The sequence below is a fragment of the Homo sapiens genome, chromosome 2, assembly GCF_000001405.40.
Source record: "Homo sapiens chromosome 2, GRCh38.p14 Primary Assembly".
NCBI lineage: Eukaryota > Metazoa > Chordata > Mammalia > Primates > Hominidae > Homo > Homo sapiens.
The window spans coordinates 161,085,513-161,107,175 of NC_000002.12; the positions used below are offsets into that span (position 1 = coordinate 161,085,513).

The following is a 21,663-nucleotide window of genomic DNA, read 5'->3' on the forward strand; positions in this document are numbered from 1 at the left end:
AGGATGGATATATGCACACAATCTGGTTCTGCTGTGAAAAAGGACTGGCAGGCTGGGGTGGGGTGGGGCAATACATATGGCGTGAATGTTGGGTAAGCAATCCTTTCTGTTCCAGTCCTCCATGTTGTTAATGATATGGAAAGAGGAAAGATTCTTTTTAAAGTAGTAACACACTGTGATAGATGCTAATGATATCAGAGTGGACAGAACTAAATCTCTGTCCTCCAGGAGCTAACAGTTTTAAGAGAGAAGATACACAAGTAAACATGCAACTACAACATAAAATGTTACATCCTGGTCCCAGGGAAGTTCCTTGAATGGGGCACTTAATTGGCCTTGATTCCCAAAGGAGGCAACATACAACTGGGGCCCAGAAAGATGAGGAGTCAGCAATTGAGAGGCGAGCATATCTGGAGAACCAGCAAGCTTTCAGTCTGGAGGTGAAAACAGGATAGAGATCATATAGGGCCCTGAAGGCCATGCCAAGGAGCTTATATTATCCCGAAGGCAATGGGACTCCAATAAAGGTTTATAAACAAGGAAGTAACATAATCTGATTTCCTTTTTAGAGCATTTCTTCTATCTTCAGAGTGGAGAATGGATTGGAGGGGTTCAAGCCTAGATTTAGAGAGAAGACTTAGATGTTTTCACAGTAATCCAGGCTAAAAATACACAAATTAGAAGATGATTCAAAGTTCATGACTTAGGCAACTAAATGGATACTGGTACTATACACAAAGTTTAGTTTGGGACATTGTGAGTTTGAATTGCTTATGGGATACCTAAGTGGAAATATGCAGTAAATAGAACTCTTTGATTAGGCTTCTTATGATTATAACAATTATTAAATTGCTGCTAAATAGCCTCCAGAAAATCTCAGCAAATAACATTAGTCATTGCCAGATTATCCAAGCAGTTTTTTCTTTCTAGCTGACATGATTTGAGTGATACGATGAGAAAAATCATAGCAAATGTTTTACATGCTGACAAGTTAAACTAATAGATATTTTTAGATGTTGTGTAAGAAAAGAGCTCTTGGTTAAAACTGATGCTGACATTTAAAGGCTCTCCATAAACTTCAGAAATGTGTAGCCTTAGACACAAAGCCTAGTAGTTTAGAAGTAATGCTTAGCATCTAACCCATGCTTTTTCAACTTTGCTTTCTGTCATGAATTGCCATTTATTATGACCATCTTTCAATATCTTTAAATAGGCTTCAAGAACATGGTTTTTAATGGCTGAATTATTTTCTTTCATATTGTATAATGGAAATGGTATTTTACCAAGCAACCTTCCTTTCTGTGACAGTTCAGGCAATTTCTAATTTTTTATAATATAAATAAATGCTGATTGAACATCACTAAACATAAATACTATACAAACATGTTTTCTTTAATATTTTCATTTTTCCCAATCAGCTTTGTTAAACTGTGGGATTGACTAAGAGGTTCTTTCTCTTATTCTGAAACTGCAACCATCTCAGAGGAAACAGCCTTGGATTTGGTACTAGAGAACCAGGTTCTAGTCTTAGCTTTTTTTTTAAAAAAAAAAAAAAAAGAAAAAAAACTCACGGTATTGATTATGGCCAATTTAACTTCCCTAGCCCTTGGTTTTCTCTGTCCAAATAACAAGGTTTTACTAAATAGATCTCTATAGGCCCATTTACTAAGTAGAACAGCAACAACAAACATTTTGCAAACAGTCTAATGATCTCAGTAAATAAGGTTGTAAAATCTGATCTCAGAATATGTCTTGGTGGTCTTCTCAAAGCTTGCTTTCTTTGACAAGCTAGCATCCTTCCCATCCATGTAGATAGATTCTGAGGCTTAGACAGGGTGGACCCTGGAGGTAGTAGGGTGGTGAGGTGGACCCTGGAGGTAGTGGGGTGGTGAGCTACCTAGGTGATCAGGTATAAATAGACCCCTAATTCTCTACCTCCACCTCATTTATTCCACCATTATAGCTTTATTGCTTACATCTTGACTTGCTAATAATTCCAGAAGAAAAATCATAATCACAGCCTTCAAGACGTTAGTCCTCTAGTTGGAGTAGGAATCCTGGGTCCACATATACTACTCTGGATATAAAAAGGCAAGAACCCCTTGGAAATTGTCACAAGACAAGGTCTGTCAAGATGCAAGAAAATTAGATGGTACAACCATAAGTCACTTGACTTCATTTATTCCCCCTTTCCTTCACCATCACTCAGGGGCAATCAAAAGTGAGTTTTAGCCATTTTTCTTAATGCCAAATTTTCAAAACCTTTCGTTAATCCCCCATTTAAATCATAAGAGGCAATATATCTGTTGAGCAAAATACCTCAGCTATGTTTGATTGACAAATTTTGTATAAGACATCTTTTTCATCTGGAAAAAGCAAAGCAAAGTATTAATAACACACACACAAATGATTCAATGAAGTCCAAAATTATCTTACAGATAATAGGGTGCCATAGGTATCTTCGATTCCTAAGGACCTTTGCTTTGCCCACTATTTACTTATTATAAGCCAGCAGATTTGCAATCACCAAGTATCTTGTGACTCTCATGACAGAACACAGCACTGCAGCAAGGATTTGAGGTGAAGGGCAGGCAAGCGCCATCATGCTGAGGCTAGCCAGGGTAGGTCCCAGGGGAACCTCACCCTGGGATATTACTACATCTCAAATGTATACTACTCAACTCTTAAACCTTGAAAGGTTGTTGAAATATTTGAAATATTAGTGCAAGGTTAAAACCAAGTATTTTTACTATTTTAGAGAAGGTGAATTGCAACATATTTACCCAAACAGACTCAATTTAGGTCATACGCAGTGGTTCACAGCCTTGGCTGTCCATTAGAATCACCTGGAGAGCTTTTAAAACTCCCAAAGCCTACGCAGCATTCCTAACCAATTAAATCAGTATTTCTAAGCATAGGAACCAGGCATCAGTATTTTTTAACGCTCCCCAGGAGATTCCAATATATAGCCAAGACTGAGATTCACCGATGTAAGATTTAACTCAGGTAATATACCTTTGGGCTTATTGTGCTTATTTGACCAACACTGGGGCTCATTGTGTTTATCTGACCAATATAGAGCCAGAACTTATAGAAACCATTGACGAAATGACTCCCCCCAGAGACACCTAACTCTTTTGGCTCTCACTTTCTTCCTAGGCTATCAGGCATGGTGTTTGTCATATCCCAACCTGAATCCGCAACTCCCTGCTTGACAGTCCTGAGGCTACCCCAAGGGTTCTGATGCACCTCATAACATCTCTTGTTTTTTCTCAGTCTACTGTCAAACCACTTAGCTCAGAATTCCCAGAGGCCCCAAAACTCTCACTTCCCTCTGAAACACTAAAGTCAGCTAAGGTTGATGCATGTACGTTGATGTGAATCTTCTGAGTAGTTTTGGTTTTACAAGGCATTTAGGAAAGTCTAGGGCCTGGCAGCATCAAGGCATGGCTATGAGGTGGGGGGAATGGGAAGAATCTCTAGAACTCCCTCAGTTTTTAGCTCCTCTCCTTCCCCTATTCTTTAATATGTATAATTAACACTTTCTGTTTTATATATCTTACACAAGGTGCCATAAAAACAGTTTCAAAATGCTAAAATGATTTCCTGGGCAAAAAGGCAAGCACCCACTCTAACCTCCCCACTTAGTCACCTACACCTTTCTCCTTGGGTGTAGATAGGTGTCACAATTGAAAAATAACACACTTGAATTGTCTTGTTAGGATTTTTTTCATGACCAATTTATAAACATTCAGTATGATTTCGGCACAACTGGCCTCCCAAATTCAAAGCCAGAATTTCTTAAATGTTGCGGGTTGTTTTTAAAGTTAGAATGACTACAGCTACACCTACATATTTAGGAAGAAGATAAATGTTATTTGTGTGCTGCAATTGTGATAAGCATATTGAATACAATGATTGTCAAGCAAAATTTCCATGTGCAATTTCAGACAACAGACTCCAAAATGTGACCATATATAATCACCCCTTTTCTACTACATTATGACAAAACAGGTAGTTGAAAATCATGTTTTATTCCTATCTCAGACAATAGGAATCTTAGTAAAAAAATCTATTTTGTTTAAAGAACAACTTCAGTTTTCTCAGAGAGTCACTGAACCCAGATTGGTAACTCAAACTCAGCAGCTTTCTATTTCTGTCTGGTCTTTCATTCTCTAGCTTTGTTTACAGGCTAAAGTTGCTGCAATTGGGTCTTCTCACTTCATCCCTTAGTTCTGTATACTGTATATATCCTGAATCATCTAGCAATATAAGACCACATTGGTCCAGTTCCTGACAATTTACCTATTATGCCTGTGTGCTGAATTTTATTATCTTAGGGAATCCATGAGCTTCCATGATTATGACTTGATAAAATTACAGCTCAGTTCAGATCTCAACAACATGGAAAGAGGTTTGCAGGGTTTGTTTACAAGTGAGGATGCCATATGCTCCTCTAAGAAAAAATATGCTAATTACCAAGGAAGAAATGAGGTAAGAACATGTGCAATTGCTGCAGACCTACTAAGTAAACAAGCAAGATACTTTCTGTGCAATGGAAATAAATGTGGTGAATCCATCCCCTGTGTTTTTATGTTCAGCTGACTCTACACAGAAAATGTTGAAGAGCAAGAAAAGGCATTTTCTCATAGTTATGTATTATATGTGTAGATTGACATATTTCATATTTGAGGTTCAAACTGGCCCAAAGCCTTATGTGGGTCCTTGTTTATTTATAAGGTTATAAAGCAAGATATTAAATGTTTAAAGCTGTATACAATAACAACCTGAACTGAGTAATTACAACTACCCAAAGTAGGTTTTTTTCTGCTTTACTTTATGGTTCTTGAACTTGCTGCTCTTCTCCCAGGTTTCATCTTCACACCAGCACTTGTTGCTGGGGGGAAATGTTAAGTTCATTCAATCATTTGTCTTCAAAATAACTGCAGGTGTTTGAACTCAGCTCTTGAGGGTTTTTTCTTCCCTCTAGCTGGTGTGTGAATATAGATAAAGCTTTAAGGAAAGAGAAAAAAATAAAAAAGAAACTATACAGCTTTTTCACCCAACAACACATTGCCAGGAAATGCTGGCTCGGTGAGTGGTGCCTCTAAGCAGAGCTTGCATACCAAGACAGCTTCCTCCACACCAAACACGCTACCCGCGGATCCCCGCTTTTCAAACACAGGCATCCACATGGAACTTCCTCAAGAAGAGAACTCAGGCAGGATGTCTAATTACCCATTTATAAATTGATATCCCCACAAGTTAGGATCTGTACTGGCAATCTATAACAAGGGCCAGCCACAGCAACATTGTAAAGTAGGCAAGTCAATTTTGCCTCTGTTTTCTTGACAGAACTAAAATAAGGAAGAGATAGGCTAGCCTTTAGCAAATGGCCCTTTGATGAGGTCAAAACGTTTGGGAGCCAACTCCACCTCTAGTCATTTTAGTCCAACATTACAAGAACTCCAAAGGGGCAAACACTTGACATTTAGCCATGGGGTACCCCAGGAGACAGAGAGCTCTCCCAATCACCTTAGATCTCCATAATTTATCTACCAAGGACTCAGGAAGATGTACAACTTTGGAACCACATAGTTCAAATCCTATTAGTTACATAGCACATATAAGTCCCAGCCTCAGTTTCTTTGTCTTTAAAATGGAGATGATCATTTTCCAACAGCAGCATAATTATTTGGGGGATATTTTCTTATCATTTATTTACCTCTGCCCAGAGAGAGGACATAACACTCACTAAGCTCTCTCCTTCCCAGATGGTGAGTGTTGGAAAGAACAAATACTGTCATTATGTTGGCAAATTCAACATGAGCATACGGGGTCTCCGGCACTAAAAATTTTGGTGGGCTCAGTGACACAGTAAAAACAAACAAACAAACAAACAAAAAACACAGAAGTAGATAACTGTGGCAGAACAAGACTCAGTTTTCTATGACAATAGAGTGAAGCCTTAAAGGCTGCCATAAGGCCATCCCTCAATGCTATCTGACGTTAGGACAGATAATTCACAGCTCTGGGCTACTTTGACCTTGTGGGGTCCTTACTCTGCCCAGACGGTGACACCCCCAAGCTTCAGGCACACCTCTATTCTCTGGTTAGATAGTAAAACAAAGCAAAAGTGACCTTAAACAAGTTCAACTTATCATTCATGACAAGCCTCAAATCTGCCTGGATTTTGTGGTCGGATTGACAAGAAATTATACATCACTTTTGAGGCATTAGGTATTCAAACAAAAAAGAAATGTGGAACCAAGGTGTCACTCTCCATGAAACTCTCCATCCTGGTGACTAAGAGAGTGGCTCTATAATTGTCCCTTCTACATATGAAAAATGTGGCAGAAATGAAGAGGTCCAAAAGAGGCTGGATATTCACGAGACTGTAAGTTGTGCTTACTTGTGCTATTTACCACTGTATTTCCTGTGCATACCACAGTGCCTGGCACATAGTAGATGTTCAATAAGTATTGTTGAATGAACTAATTAACTAATGATTAAATGCACAAGCTGTCATAGTGTCATAGTCTGTTCAGGATGCTGTAACAAAATACTAGGTGGCTTATAAACAACAAATATTTATTCCTCCCAGTCCTGGAGGATGGAAGCCCAAGATTAAGGCACCAACAGGTTCAGTGTCTGGTGAGGGCTGTTCCTCAAAGATGGCACCTTCTTGATTCATCCTCACATGGAGGAAGAGCAAGGCAATTCTCTGGGGCCCCTTTTATAAGGCCACTAATCCTATTATGAGGGCTGTATCCTTAGGACCTGATCACTTCCCAAAGGTCCCACCTCTTAATATTGTCACTTGGGGATTAGGTTTCAATGTATAAATTTTGAAGGGACATAAACATTCAGACCATAGCACATGAGTTTCTCTCTTCTAATCTGGAGGAGTGGTGGTGGAGTGGGATACTAGTAGCATTGAAACAAGAGTCTAAGGAAAGGATGCTGGACATCCTGGTTCCACATTTCTTTTTCCAGTTTGAATACCTAATGCCTCAAAAATGAGGTATAGTTTTTTTGTCAAGTAAAATATATATCTACATTATGGCCCAGTAATTCCTCTCCTAAGTATTTGCCCAAGCAAAATGAAAATACATGTCCACAAAAAAAGACTTCTGCAAGAACGTCCATAGCTGTTTTTGTGCAAAAATGTTCACAGTAATTTTATTAAAGTCCAGGTTTATGTAGCATTTGCCAATTTCCATGATACAAATACTCCCATCATGCTTTATTTCAAACTGCTACTGTGATGTCACTAAATGCAGAGTTGGAAAGAGATATGTGCAATCAGCTGGTGTGAACTATTGCAAATGGACTCTAGCTGGATGGGGCTCAAAATCATTATGCTGAGCAAAAGAAACCAGAGTACACCTTGTATTATTTCATTTGTATAAAATTTAAGACATGATATTGCACATAACAGAAATATGTTCCTATTTTTATTGCTGAGTAGTATTCCTTTGTATGAATATACCACCATATGTTTACTCATTCACCTGCTGATGAACATTTGGCTTCATTCCAGTTTTTAACTATTTTAAATGAAAGTGCTATGAAAAAAAATTCAGAATTGGAGCAAGTAGCACATTTATGTGATGGAGGCAGTAATGGCTTCTCCATACTATAGATTTTGTATGTGAAATTTAAGCCTTCAAGAGTCACTAATGTTGTTAGGAGCTATCACAACGAACCAGGATTGCCTCCCCCATACTGAGCTGTTTTACTTCAGTTTTGTCATCACAGTGAAACAGAAGTTTTAAGCTAAATGCTTCTATTCTGCCTTAATTTCCCAACACAGATAGTGCTAAGCAGTATTCCAATGAAACCTCATTAAGTTCCAGACCTCTGTCAAAGATGAGATTCTTTGCTGTCTATGATCTTCTGGACTGACGTTCTTGGTTTACTCTTCCTACTTGAGGAAGCATTTGCTCCCAGGATACAGCAAGCTTTAAGGTAGCAAGTGGGAAACTGCTTCAAATGGAGAAAGATTCCATCCCCTTTAGTCACCTTCTCTGAAGCAGAAATCAGGAGATTGCAGAGGTCTCACATTATTTAAGCCAAGATACCTGGGTGTGGTGGTTCACATCTGTAGTCCCAGTCACTGGGGAGCTAAGGCAGGGGGATCGGTTGAGCCCAGGAGTTAGTTCTAGAGTGCAATGAGCTATGATTGCACCACTGCATTCCAGCCTGGGAAACACAGTGACACCTCCATCTCTAAAAAAATAATAATAACACCAAGATGCACGGTAATATCCAATCTCAAATTTCTTGACTTATTCAATGCACTAAAAATCAACTTTCTCTCTATTCTCTAACAGAATCATTAGAGAGTTAACCAGCATAATTTCTTGATAATGAGGGACTTTTCATGATCCTTTTGTAAGCATTCTGTGATTCCTTCCATTGCTGTCATATGTGTAATTTGTCTTTGGGAAAGAGACTTACAGATACATCCCTGGTACCTCACAGTTATGGTGACAGTTTATTAAGCCCAAAATATGCCAACAGTCTTTAAAATGTACACGACCTATGACCCATTAATTTTACTTTCAGCATTTTATCCAAAGTACAAAATTAGTAAGTCAAAGTAATATATACATACATATATCAATTCTAATAAAAACTGAAAACAATTTAAATGTCCAATAAAAAATAATTTATCCATGTAATTATACAACTATTGAAGATCATGTTTTCAAAGAACAGTTAATGATATAGGAATATGTGCCAAAATAAATGTATGGTATTTATTTAAATATTTACAGAGTATTTATAAATGTATAGAATATTAAAAATACCAACATACAAATTCAAATTTCCCCTAGGTCCCATTGGCTTGTTTGTAAGGAAGGCCACTAAATCCAAGGGATCATTGTATCATTAGCTGTTAACTAAAAGGTTACAAACTCGAACTTCCTTCTGCTTGAGTATCCCTTTGGAAGTCCCCAAAAGGTACATGGGTTCTCTAAGATGAAAAATATAGGCAAATCCCAGACTGGGGTAAGGGTATGTGCTATCATACCTTACCCCTGTGATCAGCCTGGAACTCCTGCTCCCGTCCAAAGAATCAGGCCCTGTGGGTGGGAAGGAAACAGAGGAACAGGCCAGGACAATCACCTTACAGAAAATGGGCAGAAATTGTACACATGACTTCTGTTTATGTTTCATTGGTGAGAACTTTGTCACGTAACCACAGCAAACCTCAAGGGAACCTGGGAAATTTAGTTTTCAGTTGAATTGCCATGTGTCCAGGAAGAAAAGCAGAATGAATTTTGGGGACAACCAGTAGTCTGTCACATCTCATTTGGACAGATTTTTTTTTTTTTAATGCAGGAAGGAAATACTGTGGCTATCTCTAAGTTAATACGGTTTGTAAAGACTGTTTCCTCTACACTTTCTGAATTACCTAAACTTTGTGCAGTGATCATCTATTTCTTTCATAACCAGGTAAGTTGAAACATTATTAATTTTTTTAAAGACTGGAAATAAATACTCTAAAATGTTATCAGCAGTTATCTTTGGAAGATAAGACTCCATGTAACTTTTTTTTGTTTTCTTATATTTGCTGAATTTTTATAATTTATTTGAAATTTTAGAAAGTAGTTCACCAAATGTCTTAGTTCCTGCAGGGACAGGTAGAAATATTGTTATGGCCTATATTTGGGTTTCACACATGGTCACAATTACAGTGTACTTCTGTCAGAGCCCTCTGTTTTCTTTGTTTTAAAATAGAATGTAAGCCTGTTTATTTATGACTCTCAGTAAGATGATGAACGACACAAAATTCTTCAACCTGCCCCCCAACGCAACCATTTTAAGTAACTCATCTGTTCAACTTAAGAATGGAAGCTGTAATCAGCTGCTAACTAGTTCTCCTAGCAAGTTACAGCACTCCCTGGCTCCACAAAAGTTTCTCACCTTACTGCTGAGCTGTCCTCTGGGAACACGACTGTCCTCCCATCCTCACATTTAGCCTATATTACATTCAGGGTTTATCTTACTGAAGTGAGCCTACCCCCACCCTGGTTTCAGCCAACGGAAGCTCAAAGTATTAACTTTCCTGGTATATTTACATTTCACTGGGCCATTTTTGAAGACCTGAAGAAATCAATTCTGAATGGTTAAACTATAGAAACTAAAAGAGTGAGAAACTAAAATATCTTGGAAGAAACAGAACTCTCCCAATAACATGTTAATCCTACCATAAATATAACACCTCACTCTTAAGGAAAGCTCTGTTGAGAAGCACAGAGAGAAATCAATTAAAGCAAGTTTAAAAAAAAAAAAAAAATAGGCACCAGTACTCTGGAAATGCTACAAAATGTTTAAATGCTTTTCCTATCTTTCCCTTTTCTTACCTGTCTTTTTGTCTATCTTTCCACCCCTGTGATATTCAGAACCTGAACATCACACAGAATGAAAATAGCATTATAAAAATAAGTAATATAGAAACATCATTTTTCAGTATTTACAAGCACAAAAACTCCACCTTCACTTTTTCAGGGGACCAGTGATATGACTTAGTTCATACTATGGCATTTTACCTATGATTCCCACCAAATTATTTAGTTGAAATGAGAGTGTTTATTTATTTAAGCACATTTATCAAAATCACTCTGAATAAGGGATACTGACATTCCGGATGACTGGTGTACACCTTCGTGAGAAACAGCCCGAATTGACTCTTCTCACTGACCTTCAACATCATGATTTGGTGAGGAGGAAGAAAATGAGAAAGAGAATGACAGGAATACAGGTCTATTTTACTTCTCAGATTACATTAAGATTCCAAAATGTCTTGTTTCTCACACACCTACGAATCTTCCCAAAATCTACAGACTGCTTTACTCTCAGTAATTTATTTTCTCGTTCAGTTGTTCTCCTGATACTACAGTTATTTTAGACTTCAAAATATTCTAATTGCTTAATCACCTCTCCTGGCACAGTCCTTGTTTCCTTCAGTGTTCTTTCTTTCTCCCATGAGAAACACAGAGTACATTGATTCCTGCCAGCTGTTCTGCATCTCCCATTGTGAAGACTGAAACAAAGAATGAGCTTGGTCTGATTACATTTGTCAGTCAAATTACCCTGGGATTTTGTATTTATAACCACTATTTTACTTATAATTTAAAAAGAGAAAGCTTTCATTTCCTTACTTTGAGCTTCCATTTTCCTGACATAGACTATCATTTATGAAATACAATAGACAATCAAAACATAGGTAGATAATTCACTTGTTTAAGAAAAAGAGGAGGAAGAGGAGGTGGAGGAGGCACTTTTCTGAAACATGTAGTAACTCAGGGATTTGTAGAATAATCCAAAGATTATCAATGTCTTTCTGGACATAGCTTTTTTTATATATATAATCCCCAACCCTTTATAATCCCCAGACCCTAAACCTTTTTGGCATTCTGAATTAATAATTTTTATAATGCTTTTATCCATACCAGTAATGCTGGTCTATGTAAGACTACATGTAGTGTTCTCAGCTATTCAGGAGCCTGAGGTGGGAGGATTGCTTGAGCCCAGGACTTCAAGGCCTGTGAGTAGCCACTGCACTCCAGCCTAGGTGACATAGTGAGATTTGCCTGTTAAAAATAAAAGTAAAAATTCAGCCAGATGTGGTGGCTCACACCTGTAATCCCAGCAGTTTGGGAGGCCTACACAGTAGGATCACTTCAGCCCAGAAGTTCAAGATCAGCCTGGGCAACTTAAGGGAGACCCTGTCTCTACAAAAAAAAAAAAAAAAAAAATTGCCAGACATGGTGGCACACACTTGTAAACCCAGCTACTCAGGAGGCTGGGGTGGGAGGATTGCTTAAGCCCAGGAGGTCAAAGCTGCAGTGAGCCCTGATAGCGCCACTGCATTCCAGCCTGGATAGCAGAATGAAACCCTGTCTCAAAAAACGACAGCAACAACAAAACAAACAAAAAAGTAAATATTCAAAGAGCTTTTGTTGCAGTCTATGTGTAGCTTAAACTGACATACCAGGTCACTGCCAATTCTTGACAACTAGGCAACCTTTCCTTCTACAAATGGGTCTTCCAGAAGATAATGTCACATCCAGAATGAAGTATCTGATGGTTATAAAGCATATTTCTTTGTTTTAGTAGAGCCAACTTTTATTGTCTACCAAAAAGACAACTGTCCCTACCGGTTCCAAGACTGCAAAACGGCAGAGAATTAAGCCACGGAACAAATCAGCCATTTAAGCGGTGTGCTCCTTTCTAAAATGAAAATATCACTGCTATTTGTTTTGTCATGGAGAGGAAGAGCATTTTTTAAAAATTATCATTATACTTTAAGTTCTGGGATACATGTACAGAACGTGCAGGTTTGTTACATGGGTATACATGTGCCATGGTGGTTTGCTGCACCCATCAACCCGTCACCTACATTAGGTATTTCTCCTAATGCTATCCCTCACCTAGCCCCTCACTCCCCGACAGGCCCTGGTGTGTGATGTTCTCCTCCCTGTGTCCACGCGTTCTCATTGTTCAACTCCCAATTATGAGTGAGAACATGTGATGTTTGGTTTTCTGTTTCTGTGTTAGTTTGCTGAGAATGATGGCTTCCAGTATCATCCATGTCCCTGCAAAGGACATGAACTCATCCTTTTTTATAGCTGCATAGTATTCCATGGTGCATACGTACCACATTTTCTTTATCCAGTCTATCATTGATGGGCATTTGGGTTGGTTCCAAGTCTTTGCTATTGTGAACAGTCCTGCAATAAACATACATGTGCACATGTCTTTATAGAATGATTTATAATCATTTGAGTATATACCCAGTAATGGGATTGCTGGGTCAAATGGTATTTCTGGTTCTAGATCCTTGAGGAATCACCACACTGTCTTCCACAATGGTTGAACTAATTTACACTCCCACCAACAGTGTAAAAGCATCCCTATTGCTCCACATCCTCTCCAGCATCTGTTGTTTCCTGATTTTTTTAATGATCTCCAATCTAACTGGTATGAGATGGTATCTCTTTGTGGTTTTGATTTGCATTTCTCTAATGACCAGTAATGATTAGCTTTTTTTCCTATGTTTGGCCACATAAATGTCTTCTTTTGAGAAGTGTCTGTTCATATCCTTTGCCCACTTTTTGGTGGTTTTTTTCCTTGTAAAGTTGTTTAAGTTCTTTGTAGATTCTCCATATTAGCCCTTTGTCAGATGGATAGGTTGCAAAAATTTTCTCCCATTCTGTAGGTTGCCTCTTCACTCTGATGATAGTTTCTTTTGCTGTGCAGAAACTCTTTAGTTTAATTAGATCCCATTTGTCGATTTTGGCTTTTGTTGCCATTGCTTTTGGTGGTTTAGTCATGAAGTCTTTGCTCATGCCTATGTCCTGAATGGTACTGCCTAGGTTTTCTTCAAGGGTTTTTATGGTTTTAGGTGTTACATTTAAGTCTTTAATCCATCTTGAGTTAATTTTTGGATAAGGTGTAAGCAAGGAGTCCAGTTTCAGTTTTCTGCATATGGCTAGTCAGTTTTCCCAACACCATTTATTAAATAGGGAATCCTTTCCCCATTTGCTTTTGTCAGGTTTGTCAAAGATCAGATGGTTGTGCATGTGTGGCATTATTTCTGAGGCCTCTGTTCTGTTCCACTGGTCTATATATCTGTTTTGGTACCAGTACCATGCTGTTTTGGTTACTGTAGCCTTTTAGTATAGTTTGAAGTCAGGTAGCATGATGCCTCCAGCTTTGTTCTTTTTGCTTAGGATTGTCTTGGCTATATGGGCTCTTTTTTGGTTCCATATGAAATTTAAAGTAGTTTTTGCTAATTCTGTGAAAAATGTCAATGGTAGCTTGATGGGGATAGCATTGAATCTATAAATTATTTTGGGCAGTATGGCCATTTTCACGATATTGACTCTTCCTGTCCATGAAGCATAGACTGTTTTTCCATTTGTTTATGTCCTCTCTGGTTTCCTTGAGCAGTGGTTTGCAGTTCTCCTTGAAGAGGTCCTTCATATCCCCTGTAAATTGTATCTTAGGTATTTTATTCTCTTTGTAGTAACTGTGAATGGGTGTTCACTCATGATTTGGCTCTCTATTATTGGTGTATAGGAATGCTTGTGACTTTTGCACATTGATTTTGTATCCTGAGACTTTGCTGAAGTTGCTTATCAGCTTAAGGAGATTTGAGGCTGAGACGACAGGGTTTTCTAAATATACAATCATGTCATCTGCAAACAGAGACAATTTGACTTCCTCTCAGAGAGCATTCTTGATGTAATTTTGTAAATCTATTAAACAATGATAAATTGTTCATCAAGGCTGAGATGTTTCCTTTTAAATGAGCTCTATGAAATCAGAATACAGAACATGTAGAGGACATTTAGTTGCTACTGCCATCTGGAAGGCAAACTAGGGAGGTCAAAGACATCTAAGGCCTGGAGAGATGTAGATGAGCTGATAGGATGAATAGCTGCTCCTTTTTCAAAAGTTGTTGATTTTCTTAACAACTAGTAATTCTAGACTTTTTATTGCATGCTTTATTGATTATTGTTTAGAGCAGTATATGATGAAAAAACATAAATATGCAGACAGGTTTTGAACAGTGAATTTCAGAAGGAAATGTCAAATTTTTAAAGTAAATCTAAACAGGGAATATAAATGGGATAATTCATTTTGACATCCAAAAGTAGTTTCACATTATGAAATAACATAAAATTTGCATTTGCCTTCACGTAATAAATGCTTCCCAGATTTGCATGGCCCTAATACAATAAGATTAAGAATATTCTATCATTGTTTATCCTTTGTGATCAGTTGTTTATCCTGTGTTAAACAAATATTGTGGGAAGAATAGATTGGAACAGGCTTCAAAACTATTCCTTGGATGCTCATCAACAGAAACACAGAGAGACAGCAGAGCTCAGAACTTGGACAGATAAAATCTAACAGGAAAACCAAAAGTAAACTGACTAGAATTTTAAATCTTCAACAATGAATAGAGTCGTGGGATTACTGGTATAAATGCAAACCTGATGTTGCAGAAAATAACTTTGAATTTTTGTTTCCAAAAAATAAATATATCAACTTGTCTTTCCAAGGAGATCCTTAATGATACATGTGCCAGGGTAATGTATGCATGTATATATATAATGTGTGTATTTTATATATAGTCTTTCTTGAAAAAAGCAAGAGGAAAAAAAAAAGCATGAAGAACATATAACATATGGCATTCCCTATCGCCTCAGCTGGTGTTTGCCATTTCCTGCTTGTAACTTTCTTAATTTTACATCTCCTCTATTTCAATATACTAGACATTTTAATCAGATTTGCAAGTTGGCCTTCCATTTCTTCACTTGCAGCCCCGGCTCCTATTAATCTTTTCAATTACATGAGTAGGCCTATTCAATTTAAAGAAGAGCTAATAAGTACAATGCCTAGGGTGTCTTCATGAATAATCAATAATGTGCTCATTGTGATGTGGCTGTCTGGGTAAGCTATGCTCTGATGCAAGAGGCAATAAAATTCAAAACTATTCTAATATTTTAATCAAATATTATAGGATTGATATATGTGATATTTGGGAGAACAAAAATCAGTGAGTAGCATAGAGGCACCCTGTGAGGGGGAAAACAAAAACAAAAACAAAACAACCTTACTTTGAGTCACTCAAGCATTGCCCCTCAAAGCTGGGCCTGTTTTTAACTTCTACGCCCTGCCCAAATCCAGGCTGCATATGAAGCAGTTCTCTTCAGGAAAGTCAGGAAAACAAAACTGGTCATTAACCCTCAGGCAAGTAGATTGAATATCTTTCCTGAAGCAATTAATTAGGATTCCAGCATGTTAGGATCTTATCCTTTGCTGGCAAAACCTTCCTCACTAATTCCAATGTCAGAAGTGGAAACAAAACAAAACAAAAAAAGTGAAAGCGCCTCCACAGATTCTAAAATAAATGCCTATTTGTTCTCAACTAGAAACCAATTGCTGGGAAATGTTGGCAACTCAAGATGATCTCCCATTCCAAGATTCTCACTGCCATCCTAAGAATGCTGTGGTCCTAAGAGTTCCTGTAGTTTGCTTCAGCAATTAACTCTGTGCCTTTAGACACCCCAAGGAGTTTTCCTGGTAAATGTAAAGAGTAACTTACCCAAAACACATTCTTTCACACTCTGGCAGCAATACCTAAGGTTAGGCAGTACCATTTAAGGAACTAATGCGACAGGCTAGAACTCAATGTTGACATCTGAGATGTTAGGTATGCATGAGGGCTAATTTTCTAAAAGTTTACATACATATGCAGGATTCCATCCATTTTCTCCATCACATTTTCACTAATTAAGATGGTTATTAAAGAGCTGGACTTCATATTATCCTTAATTTCCTGGAACATGTAATTGCAAACTCACTCCAGAAATTTCCTTGTATACCTCCCACAAGGTTGCCTAATGGTGAGTGTTACTGATAGACGTTTCTCACTATGATGGTAATCAGGTTTCAATGAAACTCTTAAAATACTCTAGAAGAATCCATAAAATTGGAGAAGAGGGAGATAAGAGAGAAAATTATACATACTCTAGGCAGCCAGTTTTGATGTGGTATCATTGATAGTCATTTTCTATTCATTACCTAGCTCTTAATATAAAACTTCATAAGTCAAAACATAAGTTCACAAATACAGAACCAGGACCCCAATAAAAAATAAAAATCAGAAGACAATCAGGCAATATAGCCATAGGGAGGAAAAAAACACTATGATCAGAAGCTTAGAACTATAATCTAGTCCCTTCCTTACCCTTGAGCCAATAGCCTAAAATGCACAATCATAGAAGAAATTTTTATTTCATACACATGAAAATGGCTAGTACCTATTGCTCATCCACATTTTCCATGTATCAAACAGCATAGACATACAGGGAAACTAAAACTCTCTTTGATGCTCATAAATATTCAGTTGAAATTTTTAAAAATTTACTTATAAAAAAAGAGCAGTTGTTACCTTATGTCTATGTAAAATTAATTTCTCTACAAAATAAAATCAACAAACTCTAAATTAAAACATCTCAGGATCTCACATGGATCAGAGTTCCAAAACTGGTAGCTGTAGTTAAGACTAGAGGTGTCAGAACAAAATTTTAAGTCAAGAGAATCTTCAAATCTGTATGAAATCATGTCTAAATAATGCTAAATATAAGAATTTACATTAACAAATGAAACAAGCACAAAGATAAAAGTTGCATAGTTAGGGAAGGTCAAAATTTAAGCCTGCCTTCACATAAAGTTTAACATTTTCATTCCTTGCCTTATGCCTTACCATAGCCTAGGGAATTAACAGGAAACTAAGGCCTAAGGCAATTAGGTACCACCATCTGTAAATCACCCAGAAAATGATTGAGAGTATAGTATCAAAAGACTGACAAGAAGTAAACTCTCATGATGAGAATTTACAGCATTCCAGAAAAAAAAAAAAAAAGCAGTGAAGCCAGATGTCAAAATATGTATTTAGTGACTCATAAAATTTCATTGCCCCAGAGTGAAAAAAAGAAATATCACAGTTAGGCAACATTTTCAGCAGATGCCCCTAAAATACTTCTAACTTTAAAATAGTTCTTCAAATCTTCTTGAAGTGCTTCCTATTCATTTATAGTTCTCTTATTTTATTGATGTCTTTCTTACCACTGTCCTACAGGATTAGGAGTGAATCCAGGAGCAGAAGAAATTGAGAAAAACTGAATGTCAGGTTCACTATGCCCTGCTTAGCCTCATCCAACTCAAACTTGCTATCCATGTAGTCAGATGGGGTAAGCTGGGGGATAAAATGAGAAATAGAAATGGATCCATTTTAATCATATTCCTCTCCTCTACCTTTGTGAAAAGCAGTCTACAAGATACCCCTCTTACATTTAATGTTTTAACATTATTTTTAAAATCTCAAAAGGAAAATAACACTGAGTATTTCACACAGGAGAAACTGAAGAAAACTCCAGGCATGAAGACTTTATACTCAAGTAAAAGAGGAGAACAAAGGCCAAATCTGTCCACAGTGACATTTTGTTAGCTGGCGTGCCTTTCAACAGAGTTTCATTCTCCAGTTTGCCACAATCCCCATCACTACTTATATTGTATAAGCCGCTTCACACTTCACATTCACCTTACCTATTAGTTCCTGTATGCATTGCAGACTTTGACCCCTGCAAGTGAAGATTTATCTTCATCTACTTTTACACACTCAGCTTTGGCAGAGGTCTTTAAAGTCCATCTTCTAGAACAACCGTCCATTTGATAATTAGATTCTCTAATACATTTCTGGCTAGCTTTTTGCACGTCAGAAACACCAGAAGAACTAAAAATAATAATAAAATAAAAAAATAAAAAAAAATGCCTGAGCCCCATCCCTGACCTACTGAATTAAAATATTGAAGGATGCAGGGGGAGGGGGTTGGGGAGAGTTCTAAGTATCTATGCAGGTGAATCTGATGAGCAGCTAGGGGTTACAAACTATTTATTATATCTAATCATGAAGAACTCACAGTTTTTAGATAACAATGTAAGAAAGTTCTTTCCTCAGGCAAGTCTTAGTGCTCAGACTAGAGATAGAGAAGAGTTACCTGCCTCTCAGCCCTGGGGTGGTTTGACAGTATATCAGAGAGCCTTGTCAAAACTCAGAGGGGTTTGTTATAGAAACGAGCCTTCACTTCTTTCACTGCCTGCCATATGTTTCATTCCCTGCTGGCTCGATTCTGAGAACATTTTCCATATCTATGTCCATGTGAAAGCTAAAGCTACCTATTCGGGTGTTGCAGCTGTCACCAACAATATCCTGGTGATGGGATGAAATAGATTTTGCTTCAGAAACTATGAAAAGAAAGTCGGTGTGCAGAAATGACACATTATGAAACGATGAAGTATAACATCTGGCTCAGAAGTGAGTCAGACAGGTGCCATTAATGAGACAAACAGGAAGCTTCTTTATTAAAAGCAAAGTTAAATTTTGAGGCTATTTTGGACTCTCTCTATATACAGGTCTATTAACCAATTCAGTTGAAATAGCTTTACAGTGGATTTGACCAGATGTTTGGCTGCATTAGCTGAAATCACTGGTTATTATAATATAGCAAAGATTCATCCCACATAATTGCCCACAGGAATTTAATAGCCATAGGTTAAAAAATACATCATTATCGGGCCGGGCGCAGTGGCTCATGCCTGTAATCCCAGCACTTTGGGAGGCCGAGACGGGTGGATCATGAGGTCAGGAGTTCAAGACCAGCCTGGCCAAGATGCTGAAACCCCATCTCTACTAAAAATACAAAAATTAGCTGGTCATGGTGGCACACACCTGTAATCCCAGCTACTCGGGAGGCTGAGGCAGAAGAATCACTTGCACCCGGGAGGCAGAGGTTGAAGTGAGTCAAGATCATGCCACTGCACTCCAGCCTGGGCGACAGAGCAAGACTCTGTCTCAAAAAAAAATCATTATTATACCAGGTCAAAATTGTACAACAGTTTACACCTTTCAAAGCACTCGCTCACAAATAATCTCATGGAAACTTTAAAGAAACCCTTTTGTCAGGTGATAATAAACCCATATAACAAATGAAGAAACAGAGACTCCTGTCCCATGACTTGCCCAAACTTATTCAAGTAGGATCACAGCTGCACAGACCCCACATTCTCCAAACCTAAGGTCAAGGCTCAAGCTCTGAGGATCTTCAGGATTTTAAACTACAAGAGGAAGCTTTAAGAAACAAACAAACAGAAACCTTAACCAATATAAACCTAACCACGATTCTGGAAAACCAGGGGCTGAACAGGAAGAAATGTAGGAAAGAAAAATGTGAGAAACATCTAGCCCTGGATGCCAAGGCTGCAGACTTGCTAGTTTTCAGACTGAATCCTAACATACTGCTGGTACATACACATCTGCAAGCTATTCCCAGGCCCATCAACAGCTCCCTATCAAAGTCACAGGTGTAGGGTAGAAAACAGCAGAATGAAACCACCTTATGGTTGTGCAGCACTTTAATCATCTACACAAAAGAGATAAGACACATTTCCCTGCCACATAAATATTGGCTAAGGAACACTGAGGCACAGGAATATTTTGAGAAGGAACATATGAAATGTAGCTGAAAGGGCTTTCTGAACATCAGCCCCCACGGTGCTTCCTGACAGTCAATCATGATAGGGGATGGAACCGAGAGGTTCAAAATAGGTATTCTACTCAGTAAAATAATAATAATAATAATAATAACTTTGAAAACATAGTGCAAAATGCATTATTTGATTCTGCCATATTTGGTTCAGCATGCAAAGTTAAATCATGGTAAAATGAGGAAGAATATCTCTTAAATATCAGGAAGATCTTCATGCCTTAAATAAGTAAACCCCTGAACCATGAGTCTGAAACAAGAAGAAATGGACAGTGAAAACAACAGTGCCTTTTCCATTAAAATATAGAAGGATAAAATTAAAAGTGGAATGACTCCCTCTTCCTGCGTAATTCCTTGCTTATTTAGGACATTTTATTAAAACTCTGCTATGACATCATTAGCAGATTGTAAATCTTTTTGGGGCATGAATCGCATAATTTCATTTCTTTTCAGTCTCTAAATTTTATTAGTTTATCAATGTAGATTTTAAGGATGATGGAATTTGACCCAAAATATTATGTATCCCTGTACTTATATGTCTTAATAGGACATATATATGCGTAAGCTGAAATATATATGTATATAATAAATTTGCTTTTCCTAAAGTCACATATATATATGGCCTTAGAAAATATATAGGATAATATAATATATAAAATAATATAGGATAAAAATATATAGGATAATATGATAGGATATTAATGTGTGTCCATATATAGATACACATACATATCCTATATTATCCTATATACTTTCTAAAGCCATATATATGTGGCTTCAGGAAAACCTAATTTAATTATATACATATATATTCCAGCTTAAGGAAAAGCCAATATAATAAAGTTCAAAATAATAAAATGAACAATTAGGCATAATTATTTACCTTTATTAATTTAGCAAATATTTATCATGTACCTATCTTGTGTCGGAAACTATGTGAGATAAAAGGATGCGAAGATGTTACAGAGCCCTTCCCTCAAGAGGCTGACTATGAGAGGAGGAAGAAGGCTTAAGTACTATGAGGAAAAAAAGGTATTCAGAGTATGGTAGAGACACAAGCTAGTAGTCAAAACTCATATGATAATTAGCCTTATACACTGCACTAAGAAATCTGGACTTTTTATTGTAGGCCACAGGAGCCATTGAAAAGTTTTAAGCGTTGAGTAACTATCAAAATCATATTTTGTAAATAGCAGCACTCTAGCAATAAGGAACAAGATAGCTTGAAAGGATCAAGATCAGACATGGGGAAACAAAACAGAAGCCTATTGAGAGAGTTCACATGAAAAATGATCAGGGCTTAAACTAGAACTGCAGCAAGAAAAATGGAAGTTAAGTGGGGTTGGAGTGGAGAGCAGGATTGAGTGGATTCATATACTGCTTTGGGAGAATCTCTCTATATAATAAATCCTAAACTAGGGAATTAATCACCTTTTGAGTTAGTAGGACAATAGTCTAAACAAGTTATTTTGATTTGCAAATTCCAGGCTTTACTTGTGAAGCGAAACTTTACTTTTCATGAACTAGG

General features: G+C 37.4%; 1 long non-coding RNA gene across 1 annotated transcript in view, besides 2 other annotated features; it reads right to left on the reverse strand.

The window, feature by feature from the left end:
• Positions 5,285 to 5,414: an enhancer, noted in NCBI's record as "active region_16702". NCBI's record gives its function as "activates an Ori minimal core promoter by ATAC-STARR-seq in GM12878 lymphoblastoid cells {active_cell/tissue: GM12878}" and the evidence as "EXISTENCE:reporter gene assay evidence [ECO:0000049][PMID:35858748]".
• The window catches only part of TANK-AS1 (TANK antisense RNA 1), a 64,199-nt gene continuing 53,115 nt past the window's right edge, over positions 10,580 to 21,663 (reverse strand). Inside the window, exon 3 of the long non-coding RNA NR_187173.1 lies at positions 10,580 to 11,056. This is a non-coding gene — a long non-coding RNA (TANK antisense RNA 1). The remainder of the gene's footprint in view (positions 11,057 to 21,663) is intronic.
• Positions 18,953 to 19,022: a silencer, noted in NCBI's record as "silent region_12050". NCBI's record gives its function as "represses an Ori minimal core promoter by ATAC-STARR-seq in GM12878 lymphoblastoid cells {active_cell/tissue: GM12878}" and the evidence as "EXISTENCE:reporter gene assay evidence [ECO:0000049][PMID:35858748]".